This window comes from Homo sapiens, chromosome 10 (assembly GCF_000001405.40).
Source record: "Homo sapiens chromosome 10, GRCh38.p14 Primary Assembly".
Taxonomy (NCBI): domain Eukaryota; kingdom Metazoa; phylum Chordata; class Mammalia; order Primates; family Hominidae; genus Homo; species Homo sapiens.
In genome coordinates, this window is record NC_000010.11 from 17,463,562 (window position 1) to 17,484,553 (window position 20,992).

Consider the following 20,992-nt stretch of genomic DNA (forward strand, 5'->3'; position numbering starts at 1 on the left):
AGCCACAGACTGAAAAATTTCGAGCAAGTTGTTTTCCCATGAAAATACTTTTTCCCGCTAAAAATTTCACTTGGTCATATTTCTTTGGAAAAGATGACGTGTCAATGTAGTACTGAGATTTTAATAGATTACTCCGCGATCTTCCCATGCTGATACTCAGAGCACCCTGTTGTAAGATACAGAGCATGAGGTTTTTATTTAAACAGGTTTGGTGTGGATTTTGGCTGTGCCACTAACTGGGTATGTGACCCTGAGTGGGATGTTTAATTTCTCCAAGTTTCTTCATCTGCAAAATGAGGGTGAAGTGAACCTACTAGGGACTCTGTTCCTCCTCCTGGGTTCTCTAAATCAGAGGTCCCCAAGCCCCATTATTAGTCCGTGTCCTGTTAGGACCAGGCCACACAGCAGGAGGTGAGTGGCAGGTGAGTGAGCGAAGCTTCATCTGTATTTACAGCCGCTCGCCATCACTCACGTCACCGCCTGAGCTCCGCCTCCTCTCAGATCAGCAGCAGCATTAGATTCTCATAGGAGCACGAACCCTGTTGTGAGCTGCGCATGTGAGGGATCTGGGTTGCTTGCTCCTTACGAGAATCTAATGCCTGATGATCTGTCACTGTCTCCCATCGCCTTCCAGTGGGACCATCAAGTTGCAGGAAAACAAGCTCAGGGCTCCCACCAATTCTACATTACAGTGAGTTGTAGAATTATCTCATTCTATATTACAATGTAATAATAGTAGAAATAAAGTGCGCAACAAATACAATGCACTTGAACCATCCCGAAACCACCCCCACTCCATCTGTGGAAAAAAATGTCTTCCACAAAACCAGTCCCTGGTACCAAAATGATTGGGGACCACTTCTCTAAATGAAGGGCACCCTCAGCCAGCAAGATGCCGGAGCCAGACGTGAGTGTCACCCCTCACTCCCTGTTCTTCTTCAGTGCCTCCAGCCACCACATCCAACCCATCAACACACTTTCAATGTCATCAATATCTCTCGAACCCATTCCTTTCTCTCCATCCACACTGCCATTTGCCTTTTCCATGGTCCAGGCCACCACTATCTCTCCTGTCTGGATTATTGCAACAGCCTCTTATCTGATTTTATTGTGGCCGGTTTGCCCACCACCACACCACCACCACTTCCCCTCCATTCCCCAAACAGCAGAAAGAATGATGGCCCTAAAAGACAAACGTGCAGTGATCTATTGCACAACAGTGTCTGTAGCCGATGCCTGGTGGGATTGTTTCTGTTGCCTGGCCTCCTTGGGTTTATGCCTATTTACCAATTCCTGTTCTCTAGTCCTCCTGATGTTTCCAGAACTAGCCAATAAATGTCCTCCCATTAAATTCCACCGCTGCCCAGGTCAATTACTTGTAACCAGGAGCACTGACTGGCACATCATGAAATGTCCAGTCCCTCCATCCCCTTCTAACCAACCTATGCTTCCAGTGGCCTCCTGTTCATGCCTACATCCTTAGCATTGCTCTGGGATTCAAGCATCTCTCACCTCTCCAGTTTCCTCATCTCATTTTGTACTCCCGCCACATTCGCCCTCCCGCAGATGAGCTAGTGTGACATACTCTCTCTTGCTTCTGGACTTTTGCACGTGCCGTGTTTTCTCCAAGACCCTCCCCTGTATGCTGTACTCAACACCCCCCAACACCCACCCATCCATCCTTCGCTTGGCTAATGTCTACTTGTCCTTTGGATCTCAGCTTCAAATTCCCTCAGAAAGCCTTTCTTGAACACATTGCATGTGAACTTACATCTTTCTAATGCAAGAGAGCTCTCTTCATCTAGCTGCTGTAGGCAGCTTCACACCTATTGCCCTATAGGGTCCCGAAGAGATGGCTTTCACCCCAGCTTCAGTTAGAAAAATCCTTCCACAGGACCCAGCTGGAGTCATAAGCTCATCTTTCTAGTAAGAGGGATAAGGCTGTGGCTGTCTAGCTGCAGTCACATGCCGTCACCTGCAGAGTTCTTTGATCACCCCTTTCCCCTTTGTGGGGTACTTTCCCCAGAGAGCTCAATACTTAGCTATTTTATTTAGAAAAAGAATTTCTGATCTTGAGTGAGAGGTGTCAAGAAGAGAGAATTGGAAGGGGATGCATTAGGCATTTCTGGAGAAAACCATAAGGATAGAGACCTATAATAAGGACACAGCTAAAGTAGGGCATTGTGAGTTGTATGAGGGCACCGAAAGCTTAGGGCTGGGAGAGAGTTCTAGGAGGTGGGAGAAGAATTCACAAAGGAAGGGGAAAAGATGGACTTCCGGTGCTTTGTAAATCCACCCAGGCTTGGTGGCAGTCACTGCTATTTATAGATGAAAAGGCATCCCTGTGCTTTCAAGTGTCAACAAGAGAAAAGAAAATAAACCTGAGACGTGGGTCAGAGAGACCTGAATTGTCAGTTCTGCTCAGTTTGCTAAGACAACTTCTCTGAGCCTCAATTTCCTCATTTATAAAATAAGGACAAAAATATCATTCTTGATACTAAGTGCCCAAAGCAAGGTGCACAACTATGTATAGTGTGGTCCCATTTGCCTTGTTTAGGAAAAGTAGCATATTACTCAAGTATCACTCTATATACACGAAGCGAAGCGGTAGCCGTGGTTATTTCAGGAGAGGAAGCATTGGAGTGGTATGAGACTTCACATTCCACTGTATAGTCCTCTGGCCTTTTTAGAATTAAGTGCTAGGTATGTGTTTTAACTATTCTAATGAATTCATTAATTGCATAAGAATATCTCTCTCCCAGAGTTGTTGCAAAGAAAACGCCTGTAATCCCAGCACTTTGGGAGGATGAGGTGGGTGGATTGCTTGAGGTCAGGAGTTCAAGACTAGCCTGACCAACATGGTGAAACCCCGTCTCTACTAAAAGTACAAAAGTTAGCCAGGCGTGGTGGTGCAGGCCTGTAATTGTAGCTACTCAGGAGGCTGAGGCAGGAGAATCCCTTGAACCCAGGAGGCGGAGTTTGCAGTGAGCTGCCATCTCACCACTGCACTCCAATCCAGCCTGGGCGACAGAGGGAGATTCCGTCTCTAAATAAATAAAAAAATAAAATATATTGTGGGTCTAAAGATATAACACATTCTGTGCAAAGGTGTTCTGAACAAACAGTGACCCAGGGACCTATCTCATATTTTTGTTGTTCTTCTAAATATATATTTTATTTACTATAAAATGTTTACTTTTTTTCCGAAAAAGATACTATAAATTATTCAAAGCCCAGTACATTTCACCATTGCTTTCCACAGGTAAAATAGGTTTCTTGGATCACTATCAAAGTTTTTAAAAAGCAAGCCTGAGAGCCCAGAAAAGCACAATTCAGTAAAATCAAACACTCATCCAAGAGACTTATTTGTTCCAAAAGCTAAATATGGAAAATTGGATGTCCAAATGGAATACCAAAGGTTGTCATTTGGGGATTAAGAAATAGTACTGTTGTGATTAGGAAATTGCACAGAAATTAGATCTCTCTTCTTCTGTACCCTACAAGAGTAGGAGGTGAGAAATTAAGATCTGGAGGCATTTTTGATCTAGAGTCACATGAATAGCACAGGAACTGTTATTTAAAGCCAAAATATTCTGATAATTAAGAAAATCCTTGATGAATAAAATGCCTCATTTCAGATCTCTTCCTTTTAGACGTTGTCACTTCCGTTCCTTCATATTTGGCCATGGAAATGATAATCCCTCAGAAGAATTTTCGATGAGAAGACCTCTGTTTAGCATTTCACATATTCCTACTCACCATGCTTCCAGAGAGCATTTTCTTTTTTTTTTTTTTAATTTTATTTTTATCTGGAGAGACAGCTACAGCTATTTTTTTTTTTTTTTTTTTTTTTTTTTTTTTGAGACGGACTCTTGCTCTGTCACCCAGGCTGGAGCGCAGTGGCACGATCTCGGCTCACTGCAACCTCCGCCTCCCAGGTTCAAGTGATTCTCCTGCCTCAGCCTCCCGAATAGCTGGCACTACAGTCGCCCGCCACCACGCCCAGCTAATTTTTTAGTAGAGATGGGGTTTCACCATGTTAGCCGGGATGGTCTTGATCTCCTGACCTCGTGATCCACCCGCTTCGGCCTCCCAAAGAGCTGGGATTACAAGCGTGAGCCACCGTGCCTGGCCTTTGGAGAGCATTTTCTTACACTCTTACATTCGCTGAATTACTTAGGATGGCTCCATCCCAAGGATGCTGATCACCTCGCTGTTCCAAATTGCTTAGGTTATAATTCAGAATTCTTATTCTCCCAGACTCTACACGAGCTCTAAGTGGTAATTTCATTTTTAAGTTGTGAGATAACCGTATGTTTACCCAGCATAATTAATTTTCCCTTGGAAAATGTTCCTTTAATTATGTTTTGCATATTTGAATGATTCCGATTTTGCACCTGTGTTCAGAGGCACCTGATTCTAATGAATTGATTACCTAGGCTAGAGAATGAATATAATTATATTTTGCCTACTTTGATGATGAACTTTTCATGTGTGACCTAGCTGGCATTTTTGTACCCTATCTTATCACCTCATTAACTCCATTAAGACGTTTCAGTGATATTTAACATCTTATAGAAATTTAGTCAAATTTATATTATAACTAATATTACAGAGCCAAGACAACTTGGCGTTCTCTTCTCGCTTTCTCTGAGAAACTTACTAACTTGGAACTTCTCTCGGCCAATTATTTTCACTGTTTTATCCCCTCACAGGCATTTTTATTTGTTTTGCTTTGACAATTTTTCTTTGACGACCACTTTGTCTGTTCAATCAAGTCTCCAACATACACACAAAATAAAAATTTGGAGGAGTTTTTCAAATCATTTGAGCCAATATCATATTTTGTGTTTAGATTATTGGGCTAAGGAGAGCACGGCTCCAATTTTCTTTCCTGCCTTATCCAGACAACAGTCTAATTACCCTTTCTATTCCAGCTGTGAAAGCCAACCCGTGGGAAGAGAAATGATTCTTTTTCCAGGTCCCAAAGCAAGTTATTAGCAGCTGTGAACCCAGGAATCTCTACTGTCTCCACAGGTGCCCAACAAATATGACCTCATGTTGCCACTGAATTGGAAGAAGATATTTTTCCTTTCTTCTGAGAACTATGGCATGTTATTGCTGCTACTGATTTCATTCCACCTTAGAATTACTGATGTTGTCCTAGTTATTTTAAATCTGTTCTGGAAAATAGTTTAAATAAGTGCAATAATATCAGTCGTATTACTGGGACTCATGTTTTCAGAGAAAATGCCTTTAAAATGAAACAACTTTTACTTAGGAGTTTTGTTAAGTAAGTATAAATTATAGGCATGTGTCAATGATATAATAGGATAGAGATACAGGAATAGACCAGTGTCACCACACACACACACAAAATGTTTAGAGATTTAATTAGAAGAAAGGACAGCTAGATAATAAAAATTTAATACAAAAGATTGCCAAATCTAAAATTACAGACTAAAGATGAGTTGCCATTTTAAGAATGTGCCTTTTTATAGAGCTGGTCATCAGGTTTAAGCAGAGCTGAACAGATGAATATTATCCAGCCTAGGAGAGGAAGATTCCTTCTCTCTGAAACAAACAGCACTTTAATCGACACCCGAGGGAAGGAAAATTCCTCATGCCTTTTTCTCATCCATTCGTTTTTACATAAAACACATATTCAGAATTTATAATGTTTCAATACTGATATTGAAATAATATGACTTATTTTGAGCCCCACATAAAAGTAACAGTTCTCCCATACTTTTTTTAAAGGAATGACCAATTAAGCTTTTTAAATTGATTTTTACTTGTCTCTATATTTAAGAAATTTAAATTTACCTTTTTTTTCTTATTTTCTTTTTAATTGTTCTTTTCATTTAAGGAAATACATTCAAACTCACAGTTTTCCTGTTTGGTAGTCAACACTCTTAGTGGACAGGAATGTTGACTGTCTTTTTCACACTGTATCCCCAGCACTTTGAACCACACTGTTACTTAAGTAGGTGATAGAAAACATTTGCAGAATGAATGGATCCATAACATATTAAAGACACAGATTAGGAGTTCATTGGCAAAATATGCATTATGATGATGTCTCATAAATGTAAATAAATTTCATAGTATTGTTGGGACTCAGAAAATAATACCTCAAAATGAAGGTCTCAGAAGCAAAAATTTTTTTTCTTTTTCCTGCCCTCCGTCTCTCATCCCATTCTCTCCCAAGGCTAGCCATGGAAACTAGAATCTTTCTTCCCCAAGGCAGGTCATAGAACCAGAAATGTTTTTCCCCCAAACCAGCTAAAAAACCTAAAAATATCATTCTAACTCCCCCATCCCAAAGTTTCCATGTAAAAACCAGCCATAAGGGCTGGATGTGGTGGCTCTTGAACAATCCCAGCATTTTGGGGTGCCAAGGTGGGAGGAGCACTTGAGTCCAGGAGTTTGAGACCTGCCTGGGACCCAGACTCTACAAAAAATTAAAAAATTAGATGGGTATGGTGGTACAAGTTTGTAATCCCAGCTACTCAGGAGGCTAAGGCCAGAGAATTGCTTGGGTCCAGGAATTTGAGGCTGCAGTGAACTGTAATCGCGCTACTGTACGTAGCCTGGGTGCCAGAGGAAAACCCTGTCTCAAACGAAACAAAACAAATAACCCACAAGCCATAAGGAAATTATTTGATCTACCTTGTTTGACTGATACGGTTGGCTGTGTCCCCACCCAAATCTCATCTTGAATTGTAACTCCCATAATTCCTTCGTGTTGTAGGAGGGAGCCGGTGGGAGATAATTGAATCATGGGGGTGCTTTCTCCCATACTGTTCTCATGGTTGTGAGTAAGTCTCACGAGATCTGATGCTTTTATAAGGAGAAACCCCTTTTTGCTTGGCTCTCTCTCTTTGCCTGCTGCCATCCATGTAAGATGTGACTTGCTCCTCCTTGCCTTCACCATGATTGTGAGGCCTCCCCAGGCATGCAGAACTGTAAGTCCATTAAACCCATTTTTCTTCCTGGTCTCGGGTATGTCTTTATCAGCAGCAGGAAAACAGACAAATACATTGACTATAGGTCATAAGACCCTCATTCCAGAGAGGGTTGTGCCCCATTCCCAGATGGAAAAATTGCTGCACAGAGAGGCCAAGAAGAATCTAGATAGAAAGTCCTTGCTGGGTTTCCCCACTCAGTCCATTAACATTAGATCAGACCCTTTTGTCCAAGCCTATTTCTACATGGCTGTTCATATTCTGTTGCACCTAAGTAAAAAATTGACAATTACCTTTGTATCTTTGGGTCTTCACCTAAAGGCATTCACATCACATAAAACTAAGATCAAGGCCGGGTGCGGTGGCTCACGCCTGTAATCCCAGCACTTTGGGAAGCTGATGCGGGCAGATCATGAAGTCAGGAGATCGAGACCATCCTGGCTAACATGGTGAAACCCCGTGTCTACTAAAAATACAAAAAATTAGCCGGGCATGGGGGCGGGCACCTGTAGTCCCAGCTACTCGGGAGGCTGAGGCAAGAGAATGGCATGAACTCGGGAGGCGGAGCTTGCAGTGAGCCGAGATCATACCACTACACTCCAGCCTGGGCAACAGAGCAAGACTCTGTCTCACAAAAAAAAAAAAAAAAAAAAATTAAGATCAAATAAATGTGTATGCTTTTTCTCGTTAATCTGCTTCTTTTCAGTGATTTCCAGTGAACCTTCAGAGGGTGAAGAGAAAGTTTTCACTTGGCCCAGACAGTATCTTGAGTTTTTTTTTAATTTCGGAGGCTTCTTGAATTTGAAAATGGCAGATCTATGGAATTCACCAGCATGATAAACACACAGACCATAACATTTTCTGCTTCTGAAACCCTGGCAAGCCAGACTAAATTCCATTTTTATTGGGGAAAGGAGGCAAGTTCTCCAGTGATGTCCTCATCTGCAGTATTCTTTCAGGAACAGAAAAAGCAGAAAGTGTACAATAATAGCTGGGGCCAGGCACAGTAGCTCGTGCCTGTAATCCCAGCACTTTGGGAACCCAAGGTGGAAGGATCATTTGAGGCCAGGAGTTTAAAACCAGCCTGGAATACATAGCGAGACCCCATCTGTACAAAAAAATAAATAAATAAAACATAAAATAATAGCTTATTGATCAAGATCCACAGCTATAAGAAGTGCACCCACCACACCCACTCACAGCATAGGAGCAAGTGGTAGAAGGCAGAAAGAGAATCATTCTTAACACAGAAGCAAGAGATTTTCAGCCTCAGCATCTGAGAGTGGCCTTTCCAGAGGCTCTGGTGAAGCCGCCTTGTCCTAAACTGATGTGGAGTCCTGTAATAATCAGTTAAAGGCTTTGTTAGTGGCGTGGGTATGTTATATGGCTCTGGATTTAGCGGGTGGAAGAAAGTCAAAAACCTTTGAAAAATGTAGGCTAAAATGCTTTTCTCTGTGGTCCAGTTGTGAGTTCTGTCCCTCTGCTGTGATTCTCAGGGAACACTTCGCATGCACGGATTGGCTTCCTTGTTCCTTAACTGGATGACTCCTAAATTTGACCTCCAGCTTTGTCCTCTCTAATGAACAGAAAACACTCCTGTTTCTGGAAGCTTCCTGGATATCTCGCCACTGTGATTTCCCACCAGCACCTCACTTAAGTTCTTATCTGCTCCTCCTGCCCAAACTAAACCTTCCTCTTGGCCTATTTCCTATGATGATGCTATTGAGCCACTGTCAAGCCTCGCAGGTTAGATTTCCTAGATTTATCTTTATCTTTAATTTCTCCCCCTCTTTTCACCTCTTCAATATATTTTCTCTGTCACCACCTTCCCCTCTTCTAGCATCGAAACTGGTCCCTTGACTTCACTTACTTCCTAACCTGATCGATCCTATATGGCACTTCCAAAATATTTTTCTTCAGAGTTGTCACACGTAGGTCTCATGCCATGCTGCTGTTCCAAGAACAAATTTGCAGTTTCTCTCCATTGCAAGGCAGTTGAGATGAAACTGAGTAGGAGATGGGTAGGACTTATTTCCCAGTCTCAAGAGGATGAAGTGAAGAAACTAGGCTGGGATCACACCTGTAACCTCAGCACTTTGGGAGGCTGAAGCAGGAGGATGGCTTGAACCCAGGAGTTCAAGACCAGCCTGGGCAACATAGCAAGACCCTGTCTCTACAAAAATTAGCTGGGCATGTTGATTTGTGCCTGTGGTCTCAACTACTCAGGAAACTGAGGTGGGAGGATTGCTAGAGCCTGGGAGATCAAGGCTGCAGTGAGCTATGATCATGCCACCGTAGTCCAGCCTGGGCAACAGAGTGGGACCCTGTCTCAAAAAAAGAAAAGGCAAAAAAAAAAAAAAAAAAAGAAAGGAAAGAAACCAACCAGCAGGAACCAGCAGAAGATGAGGAAAGTGATCACCAGCTATCTTCATTGCTTATTAGCACAAGACACTCCCCCCAGCGCCATGACAGTTTACAAATGCCATGGCAACAACCCAGGAAATTACTTCTCCTTTCCATGGTAACAACCTGGAAGTTACTGCCTCATTTCCTAAAAGTTCAAAGTAACTCCCCCTCAATTTGCATGTAACTGAAAGTGGGCTCACGTGAGTATGAATACAGTGGCCAACAGCCCAGGCTGTTGCTGATTGTGGTGCCCTGCTTGTGAGTTAGCTCTACTCCATAGGGAGCAGTAGCATCCAATTAAAAGATTGCTGTCTTAACTCTACTGGCTCATCCTTGATTTCTTTCCTGGGTGAAGCCAAGAAACTTCGTGGGCTTAGCGCCACTTTGACGGCTCACCTGTCCTGCATTAACTCCACAGTCAATATCCAAACTACAAACTATACCCTTGTTGTTATCAGCACCGGGACACCAAGGTTCAACATCTGTGTGAGCTCAGATATCAACTTTTTATGTGTCAGTTACTTCACTTGAAAAGTGTTCTGTTAGGGTTGTGTAAAGATTGAGTTAATATATGTATATTAGGCACTTAGAATAGTACCAAGCGCTTAGTAGGTATTATATTGGTGTTTCTTGTTATGACCAGTCTTAGAGCCTAACAAATAGAAACACCATTTCCCAAACATGTCTTCACGTTTATCATTTCTCAACTGATAGAGTTTGGCTCTGTGTCCACACCCAGATTTTATCTTGAATTGTAATCCTCCTGTGTAAAGGGAGGGACCTAGTGGAAGGTGATTGGATTACGAGGACAGTTTCCCTCATGCTGTTCTTGTGATAGTGATTGAATTCTCACGAGATCTGATGGTTTTATAAATGGTAGTTTTTCCTGAGCTCTCTTGTGGGTCCCCACGTAAGACGTGCCTGCTTCCTCTTCTGCCAAGATCGTAAGTTTCCTGAGACCTCCCCAGCCATGTGAAACTGTGAGTCAATTAAACTTCTTTCCTTTATAAATTACCCAGTCTTGGGCAGTTCTTTATAGCAATGTGAAAAAGGACTAATACGTGAACTTTTGCTCAAATTGTTCCCTCTGCCTTCAATGACCTTTTCGTCATATAAAGTCTACCCATTTTTCAAAGTCTACCGCAAATACCAATACTTCCCTTGAAATTTTCACTTAAAAGTCTTGTCTTTTTTTGAATTCAGGATAATACATCTGCCCCAACTACCTTTATTCGTAAGAAATAAAATAATATACACTTCGGTATTTTAAAGTCTCTATGTAAGATGATATTCTATAGAGCTGTTATATTACTAAGTTGGTCTTTTTGTTACAGCCATACTCCAAAAATTTTCATTATGTTATTTTATTTCATTTGTCAGTGAATTTGAAATCATTTTCAAGAGCAAAATTAGAAACAAAATCCCAGCTTTAGGAAGAAATAAATCAGAGCTTTCCAAAACTAATATTTTAGGATTTACGAAGGTTTTTAAGAGAGAAGAGTTTAAATATTTTTAAAGTATAGACTTATAAAGCATTTCTGGGGAATCTGAAGAAACAAATATAGCATTACACCAGTATTATGCTATTTAATTTTATTTCAATCAGGTGATTTTAAAGTTTGAATGGCTATTTTTTTTTCTTTCAACTGTATTTTCTCTGCTATATTTCATGCATTGTAAGACTTTAAAGGTTGGCCCCTTGTGGAGACAAATTACACCTGGGGAAATTAGCCCAGGTGTTGGCAATTAATTGTGGAGCCAGAAACTCCCCAGTGATGTGAGACGGAGCCTTCCCACCGTGTTCTCTGGACTCCTTTTTCTAAGATGCTGGCTCTTCAATTTTAATGAGGGAAAAGTGCCCCCCTGTGGTTTGTACTTGGACTTGGTTTGTTTTTTTTTTTTTTTTCAATGTAAATATTATGTTCTTTCCCAAGGAAAAGCCGGCAAAGCTAGGAAGAAGGCTGTACTCATCTGGATTCTAATTTTCTCCTCTTTGGGATCCTTATCAGTAGCAAATCACCTTTTAAGTCATCCCTTCACCCGTCCACCAGCCTCAAATCCATGCCCTCACACTATCCCACGTCCATTCTCACCTAGGTGCCTTCAGAGCCAGGATCCCTCCAAGAGCTCACCCATCCTAATGTTTTCAGGAGGGAAACAAACAGAAAATGCTTTCAGTAATGGTCTGTGCTGGACTCCTCCCTCCTTTCTCTAGTTATTCTTTTCCCACTCCCACTCCTCCAACCTCCCTGCCACACCAAAATTTCTAATTCCTCTGATGCATATCCTCTCATCTGTGTTTATTCTTTCAAGAAGTTTATTTTAGGTTTGTGTGCATTTATTTTTTTCTTTTTTTGAGATGGAATTTTGCTCTGTTGCCCAGGCTGGAGTGTGGTGGTGCCCAGGTTGGAGTGTGGTGGCACAATCTCAGCTCACTGCAACCTCTGCCTCCCAGGTTTAAGCAATTCTCCTGCCTCAGCCTCCCGACTAGCTGGGATTACAGGCGTGTGCCACCACACCCGGCTAGGTTTTGTGTTGTTAGTAGAGATGGGGTTTCACTATGTTGGCCAGGCTGGTCTCGAACTCTCAACCTCAGGTAATCCTCCCACCTCGGCCTCCCAAAGTGCTGGGATTATAGGCATGAGCCACCGCGCCTGGTCTTGTGTGCATTTCTTACTGTATTACGTAAATGGTCTTGAGCTACAGGTAGCATTCTTTCTTCCAACTGTTACTCAGCACTCTGTCTTTGAGAATGAGCCATGTTGCTGTGTGGACATTCAGTGCATTGCTTCTAAGGGCTGCCCTGTGTTCCACAGCAGACATACAGAACATTACACTAATCCTCTATCCCAGAGATAGGTACCCTGATGGCCTCTAACTCCCACAAACAATGCTATGATGAATATCCGTAAGCCTGTTCCAACGTGGGCCTGTGTGTGAATTCCTTCCAGAAATACCAAGAAAGAGAATTCCTGTATCCTAGAAATATGCATACTCAGTTTAAAGATTTCCTGCCCGGATGTTCAAGACTGCAATACCAATTTATACTTCCATCAGCCTATTCATGAGGGTGCCTGTAATTCCACATCCCTATCCTTTGCCAGGCTATTGTGTGGAAATGATACTTCATTGTATGTTGACTTACAATTCTGAGGAATAATATATTGGAGCAACTCTTCTGTTTGTTAACTTTTATTTGAATTTTCCCTTCTGTAAATCACCTATCTGTATTCTTAGATTTTTTGTTTTGTTTTGTTTTGTTTTGTCAGAGTCCCTACCTTCTTCTGGTTGATGTGCAGAAATCCCCAGTTCCTTGTGTTTTCTAGGTTTCGGTTCCTTGTCAGCTTTAGGCCTTGCCAATGATTTCTCAATATCTGTCACTTCTAACCTTGTCTGTGGCATCTTTCATTGCATGGAAATCCTTAGTTGTTTCTTTATGATACATCTTTTGCAAAAATAGAAGAAGCCTTTTCCTATCCCTCATGTAAGGGGATATTCTCATGCTATATTTTCTATTAAATCTGATATGTATATTTTTCATATCCAAGTCTTTATCTGGAGTCCAACTTTGCAGGTGGTACATAGGAATCAGTTTCAACTTTCTTTATATGGGAGTCAGTGTTTCCAACATCATCTGCTAACATGTATGCTTTCATATTAATCTGTAGAGCCATCTTCATCATATATTAAGTTGCTGAATTGTCTGTTCTGTTCCATTGTTTTACTGTCTGCCTGTCTACCAATATCACACTGTTTCTAGCACTGTGAGGCTTTGTAGTATGTCTTAGTATCTGATAGAACAGGAGCAGCCACATTTCTCATTTTTGTAAAGATCAAATTGACCATTCGTGGACCTTTAGTCTTTCACATGAATTCTGTAGTAAATTTAACCACGAATTTCATTGAAATTTCCTTGACTATATAGATTAATTTGAGAAGAATTGACAACTTTATGGTATTAACATCCATCCAGAGACATTGAAAGCGTATTTAGTTGGATTAATTGTTATGTCCTTTGTTCAGTTGAAAATTTTTTTCTCAAAAAAGGTTTATTCCTTGTTAATTCCTAAATACCTTTAGTTTTTATTGAAATTGTAAATCATGCCTTATTTTTCTTATATTTTCTAGACAGTTAATACAAGCATTAAAAATTACTGATTTTTATGTTGATCATGTATGCAGCAACCTTGATCAACTCCCTTCATTGTTCTAGTAGCTCATCTATTGATTCCATTCCTAGGTAAATTATGTTATCTATCTCTTTCTTGACCAAGCTTTATACACCATTTGTTTTTCTTTTTTTTATGGCATTCACTGGGATTATGTTAAGCAGTAGCGGTGTTAGAGACATACATTCTTGTCTTTTCCTCTACTATAAAGTGAACTTTTTTGTTTTGGGGTATATAGTGGTAGGAAAAATATCTCCTTTTTTCACTTTTTCACTTTGTTACAGAAACTCTGAATTTTAACTAGAGTTATATCCATCCAGAATTAAGACTGCCTTTACCATCCTCTCTTGCAGCTAGATATGACCTCGTAATTAAGTTCTGGTCAATGGGATATGAGTAGAAGTTGATGTGATCATCTTTTGCTTGTAACTTTAAAAAGGGCCACCCTATCAGGAATCCCGTAGATTGCTTCTGGAGGTAGAGAGTATGCATGTAAGAAGAGAGGTTAAATGAAGCTTCCTTTCCCATCACCCATATCAGAAATGGGTATGTCTTCCAGTTCCTTGTTTCTGGTGGCTGAAATGCAGATATAATGGTGGTATCCAGAGTAACAATAGTGGATCATACAGATGAGGCCAGCACCTCAGGATGACACAACAACATAATAGTAGGAGAATAGGCCCCCATACCATGAAATTGCCGCATTAATCCTGAACTGCTGTTGAACAAACAACACACACTTGGAGAAAGTACTTAAATTTTTATGTATACCCTCATGTTTAAATGCCATATGGCTAGATATAAAAATCTTGGCTCAAAGTTCATTTCTCTTTGTTTTAAAATGCTAAGCCATTGTTTTCTTGTAACCAGCATTGCTATTGAAAAGTTTGATTTTTGTTTCTCTGTAGATGGTCTGCTGTTTATCTCCAGAAACTTATAATTCTCTTTGTCTTTGATGTTCTGAAATGTGACTATGGCATCTAGGCGAGGGAGTTTTTGTTGCTGTTTATTTATTTAATGTATTCATCATGCTTCATGCTTGGTGAGCACCTGTTCCAGTCAAGAATTCATCTTTAAACTCCTCAAAAGAATAGGCATTTTGAGTAGATAGTCTCCCTCAGTTACAACCTACTTGCCCTAGAGAGACAGAGGTGAAGAAAGTGCCAGAGTGTGGCTAGTCATTTTTCGTATACTGTTATAAACTCTTCATTCTTGGAAGGCTTTTGTTCTGCTCTGATATTAACCTGAAGACCCAGGCTATAATGGCTGATTCCTGCAGTGAAGAGTGTAGCAACCATTAACCCAAGACCTTGGAAGAAAGAAGAAACAGCAGAACATTAAAGCTTTTTTCAAGCTGTGCTCTCACTGTGCCTGTGAGATCCTTCTCCTCAAGCTGTCTCTGTCGCTCCAGCCTGGCCCCCATTTCACCCACCATCCACACACAGGAGTTCACCCCACTGTTCACATTCCCCAGGATGTTCATGCCATATTTATGTTAGTTTCTCAGCTCCAAGCTTCTGTCTTACTACTAGATTCTCCAGGGTTGATTTGGGAAAAGAAAGCCAGCAACCCATCCTGGCTCACCATCCTAACGAAAAGCCAAAAATCAGATACAGGAATTGTTTACGAGGCTTTGGCTGGGTGGAGTTATGCACACCTGTAATCCCAGCACTTTGAGAGGCCAAGATGGGAGGATCACTTGAGCCTAGGAGTTCAAGATCAACCTGAGCAACATAGTGAGACCCCTGCCCCCCATCTCTAGAAGTAAATAAATATAAAAAGAAGTCTTAACAATTGGCAATATTGTTGCATTAATAGTCAGACTTTTAATCTGGAAGGAAGGGAAGTTACCTTCACTAGAGCCTGGAGAAGAAAGTAAATTCATCCAGATGCAACGTTGCTGGACTACCTGACCACTTTTCCACGCTCTGTAGGTGGCTACAAGGTACTCAGACAATCCCTGAGATCATCTCTGGTGAAAAACATGACCTGGGGAAGGGTAATATTTGGAAATTCCCTAGGAGGCCACCCTATCGGCCGTAGATTGAAGGTTAAGAGTATGCATGTAAGAAGAGAGGTTAAATGAGGCTTCCTCTCCCATCACCCATCTCAGAAGCATATCACACATTGAACACAACCAAATAGGACTGTTCTGGGTATGCTGTGGTTTTTGTTTTTTTTCCCCCAACTTTGCATGGTTGTTCATTATCTAAATAGGGATTGCCTTAGGCACCTAAGGGAAGGTCATCCTCTAGGCTGCTTTTTAGCATGTAAAAAATGCAGGGTGAAATTGTGAAAGGACTATTAATGTCTGCATAACTCATGGCTGCTGAGTCAACTTGACTTTGGCTGAGCCCAAGGACCATTTAGAAATCATAGCCTCCGGACATTGTCATACCCTGATGCCCAAAAGAAACTGTCTGGGGCTTCCATTAAACTGATGGATGTCAGGAATGGGTATAAAAGTTCTAAAATCTTGCATGAGAAATTGGAAGGGTCTGAGTTTGTTCTCCTACCTTTTCCAAAGAAAAAAGGGAGAGATATCTAATCTTTTAAAGTAAGCATTAGAAAACTCCAAATCCAAATGACAGAAGAGCCACTTCTTAAAAAAAAAAAAAAAAAAGCAAATATCAACGGAAGGTGATATTGTTAGTAATCAAACTGGATTGATCCAGATATAACACTATCATACACTACCTTTATTATCTGCTTCTCAAATTTCCTTCTCTCTATCGCATTATCTCCCTCTAGGGACACTTTTGCCTATCAGTATTAATTAAATGTGAATGTTAACATGTAGGAAGATTTATAACTTCCTTGGCCTGACAGCTGTGCTGAAACTGAAATGCATCAAAGAGGATGAATGGCCCCGTCTGCCACCCATGAATGATGATCACTTCTCCAAATTGGCCAGAGAGTTTGAAAAAGTATTTTGGGGAACTTGCCAGCTAAGACTTTTCCATTCCACCTCCTCACCTCTTTCTAACCACTGCCACCATCATAAAAGAAGCACGTCTATATGAAGCACTGTGGAAAATTGGGGCCCAGGTGTGAAAAGTGAAAAAAGTGGAGTGAAGACCTGGTAATCAAATGCCAAATTGCAAAGTTGCAAAGAACAAATATTTTGGCCTAGAATCATCCCTATTTGTATCACAGCCAGTTTAAGCAAATAGAATAATATGTGTTCATATAATCTATCGGTACAGATTTAAAATGGGTCAGAAACAAAATTTTTGTCCTATTTTAGACTGTGGATCCAGATGACAAAAACAATGGATGTCAAAACACCTCGGAAGTTTCAGAACAGAAAATAGAGAAAACAAATTTGACACTGGAGTCATCTCTGATCATGACATTTCATACAGTTCTCAAAACCAACTTATCAAGAATTTAAAAACGTATCTATGTTATGGTTTATAGGAATTGCATGAAGCTTTATTCCACTTTTACTATGCATGCCATCTATTTATATATTCAAAGAGTTTACATTAACATGACTTTACTATGATGTCTTTGTAGCTTTATTAGTATAACTTGATTGGCATAACTTGACTCTTCCAGGGTACTCTTGCCCTCGGAAATGACTTGATTGTTCGTTACTGGAAGTTCCCAAAAGATCTGTCAGCTTTTCACTGGGAAGCATCAACTGTTGGTTTACAATTCTGTCAGACTCTTGAACCCCTTGCCTCAAATTCTTTGCCATGCTACTTCCACTAACTCTAAATTGGTAAACATGATCCTGACCCAATCTTAGTCAAACTCTTGCTTTGAAAGCCCCACCTTAAACCAAACTTCCGATTCTCAATAAAATCTGACCTTGCCTTTCTCCCTGAAACCCTGTAGAAACTCTGCCAAGGGAGCATTCTCCCAGAGCGTGGTAAGCAGTAAACTCAGCTTTGTCTTACCAACAAGCTGTGTTGATGAGAGCTGAGAAACATTCAACAGAAGAGCATGCAATATTGCTATATATTCATTAAAAGCATTTAGAGCATACAGAAAAAAGAATGACATAAATGACAAATTATTTTTCACTTTAGTAAAGATTTACGTGGGAAAGAGGCTGATGGAGAGATTTTCAATTGTAATAAATAGTAAATGTGTGGGTCTTGTGCTGCATATATGCATGCCCTGTATAAAGCAGCAAACCTCCTGCCCAGCACCCCTATTCCTCATATCTTGTTGCCCTTTTTGGTGGGTGGAGGAACGATGGTGGGAGCTTCAACACTTACCACCATCTGACACACAAACATACACATTTGCTTATTTGTTTACTGTCTGTCTCTACATTCAGTCCTAATATAATTGCCCAGTGAGTTCTTCCTGACTGATGTACAGGAAAAACCACTTCACTTAACCTGTGGTATTGCAGTAGAGAAAGAGTTTAATTAACCCAAGGTCTCCAAGTGGAAGGACTGGAGTTATTACTCAAATCAGTCTCCCTGAGAACTAAGGGGCTAGGGATTTTATGGATAATTTGGTGGATAGGGGCCAGGGAATGGGTACTGCTGATTGGTTGTGGGTGAAACTATAGGGGTGTGGAAAACAGTCCTCCTGCACTAAGTCCATCTCTGAGTAGGGGCCACAGACCCATTTGAGTCATGAATCACAAATCCAGGTGGGGTCAGTCAGTTGCCAGAATGCAAAAGTCTGAAAAACATCTCAAAAGACAAATGTTAGGTTCTACAATAGTGATGTTGTCTATGGGTGCACCTGGGGAAGTCACGATTCTTGTGACCTCTGGCCACATGACGCCTGAGCAGTAAAGGATCATAGAAACTACACCCGCATTTTAGCAGATTTCAGGCCCTCTTGTAATCTTAATCTTGTGGCCTTTTATTAGCCTTACAAAGGCAGTTTCAGTCCCTGAACAAGGAGGGGATCAGTTTTAGGGAGGGTCTGTTATCATCCTTCCTTCCAAGTTAAACTATAAACTAAATTCCTCCCATGGTTAGTTTGGCCTCTGCCCAGAATTGAGTGAGGACAGCTGGCCTGTGAGGCTAGAAGCAAGACGGAGTCAGCCACACTAGATTCCTCTCACTGTCATAATCTTTGCAAAGTTGGTTTCACTAACTCAAATATAAACTTCATGAGGGCAGGGACTTGGTTTATTCTGTGCTGTATCCTCAGCACCTAGAACACTGCCACATTTACAGTGAATATTTGTTTAAAGAAGGAAGAAAGGAAGCAAAGAGGGAGCAGAGGGGAGAGGAAGAGAGGAAGGGAAGGCAGAAGGGAGGGAGGGGGCAAGCTAAATTATGGGAGGCGAGGCAGTCTCATGACAAATGCCCAGACTTGGAAGTTAGATCTGATTCAAATTCATTCACCAACTTACTAGCTATATGACTTCAAGCAAAATACTACAATTCTTGATAGCCTGTTTGCAGGTTCTAGCAGGGGAATGCAGCTACTCATGTACCCTTAACCAAAGACCTGTCCTCCTCTATCGGGGTTGGTCTTCCTCTTCAACCTAGCACACAGCTTCAGGAGGGATGCACATGGGGCAGTGAGTGAGGAAGGGGACACCCACCTAGCCAGCCAGATCAGCCACATCAACCCTGGCCATCAAGGGAGTGACAGATGCCACAGCCAGATCCCCCTCACATCCAAAATACTTGAAGCCTCAATTTTCTCATCTATAAAATGGAGGCAATAATATCCATATTGCATAGTTGCAAGAACAGAAAATGTATAAAAATATCTGAAAAGTATCTAGCATAGTTCCTCGCAAGCAGTAAACTGTTAATAAATACAAGATCCATATGTAAAAAAATAAAATTCTTAGTTATTTAGGAAAGAATGATAGCTAAGCTTTGCATTCTAAGAGAGTGGAGGCATCTGCTTACATATTTTTGTAGAAAATGGGATATTCATTGGAAAAAAAAACACCTAGATGAACTTTTTAGGTTTAGAAAATAGGGGTCGTTGGGCAAGTCATAGAGAGAAGAATTTAGTCAAAGGTGCTTGCTTGTTTTGCATAATTAAATGATGGGTATGAAAACTTTGTTTTCTGGTGGGAACTCAGGAGATAGTACAATGTAGACTGAGTGATGGGGAATTCCTTCTTCCTCTACTCACCTTAGGTTCATTAGCTGGATCCCTGCAAATCAGACTGCTGAAAGTCAGATGAACAAGAGAAAGGCCAGGCACGGTGGCTCACGCCTGTAATCCTAACACCGTGGGAGGCCGAGGTGGGTGGATCAAGTCAGTAGTGCAAGACCAGCCTGGACAACATGGTGAAACCCTGTCTCTACTAAAAATACAAAAAGTAGCTGGGGATGGTGGTGCATGCCTGAAATTCCAGCTACTCAGGAGGCTGAGGCACGAGAATTGCTTGAACACAGGAGGCAAAAGTTGCAGTGATCGGAGATCACAACACTGTACTTCAGCCTGGGCAACAGAGTGAGACACTGTCTCAAAATAACAACAACAACAAAAAGTTTATTAACACGTCCATCCTGCATACACACAGGAGAAGTTAGTGATGAGGGACTCATAGGGGTGGTTAGAACCTGGGCTTATATAGCATTATAATAAAAGAACAATCATTTTACAGAGAAATGACAAGACAAAGGAAAAGGGCTTTGGGCTTTTAGGAACAACAGACTGTAAGAAGGTGAATGCATGGAGGAAACTAATGGAACTTAAAATAAAAAATAAAATAAAAATTTAAGGGTGCTCCAGAATACTTGGTGATCCAGACAAATAGTATTTTCATACAATATTTGTATGTTTTTGAAACAGAGTCTCACTCTGTTCCCCAGGCTGGAGTTGAGTGGCACGAACACGGCTCACTGCAGCCTTGTCCTCCTGGGCTGAAGCGATCTTCCTGCCTCAGCCTCCAAAGTAGCTGGGACTATAGGTGTGCATCATCATGACTGGATAATTTTTAAATTTTTTGTAGAAATAAGGGTCTCATTATATTACCCAGGCTGGTCTCGAACTCCTGAGCTCAAGTAATCCTCCTGCATTGGCCTCTCAAAGTGCTAGGATTACAGGCGTGAGCCACGGTGCCCGGCCTTCATACAATATTTTAATAAATCAAAATTAATGCAAAAAGACCCACGATAGACAAATATCCAATTTTTAAATAAAGCCAGGATCATTATGACTGAATTTTTTTTTTCTTTTGGCCTCAGGCTGCAAATCTGGCTCAACACAGCACTGTGACTGATTCTGACTTTATCTGAAATTTTTTTTTTTTAAACAGTGTCTCGCTCTGTCCCCAGGCTGGAGTGCAGTGACATGATCATAGCTCACTGCAGCCTCGACTTCCTGAGCTCAAGGGATGCTCCTGCTGAGCTCAGCCTCCTGCAGAGCTAGGAATACCAGCACATGCCACCATGCCTGCCTTATCTAAAATTTTGATATTTTGTTCATCATGGATATTTTTATATTAATTTTGATATCTTAAAATATCACATTAGTCAGGGTTCTCCAGAGAAACAGAAC

General features: G+C 41.1%; 1 long non-coding RNA gene across 1 annotated transcript, besides 1 other annotated feature; it reads right to left on the reverse strand.

Annotated features, from left to right (window-relative positions):
• Positions 1-8,077: 8,077 nt before the first annotated feature.
• LOC105376437 (uncharacterized) lies at positions 8,078-9,426 on the reverse strand. The gene is made up of 3 exons (XR_930714.1): positions 9,352-9,426; positions 8,839-8,974; positions 8,078-8,305 (listed from the first exon to the last, which is right to left on the reverse strand). It is a non-coding gene; the product is annotated as an uncharacterized LOC105376437 (long non-coding RNA).
• Positions 11,029-11,323: a silencer, noted in NCBI's record as "tiled region #15274; HepG2 Repressive non-DNase unmatched - State 13:Ctcf". NCBI's record gives its function as "represses a minimal TATA promoter and a strong SV40 promoter by Sharpr-MPRA in HepG2 cells {active_cell/tissue: HepG2}" and the evidence as "EXISTENCE:reporter gene assay evidence [ECO:0000049][PMID:27701403]".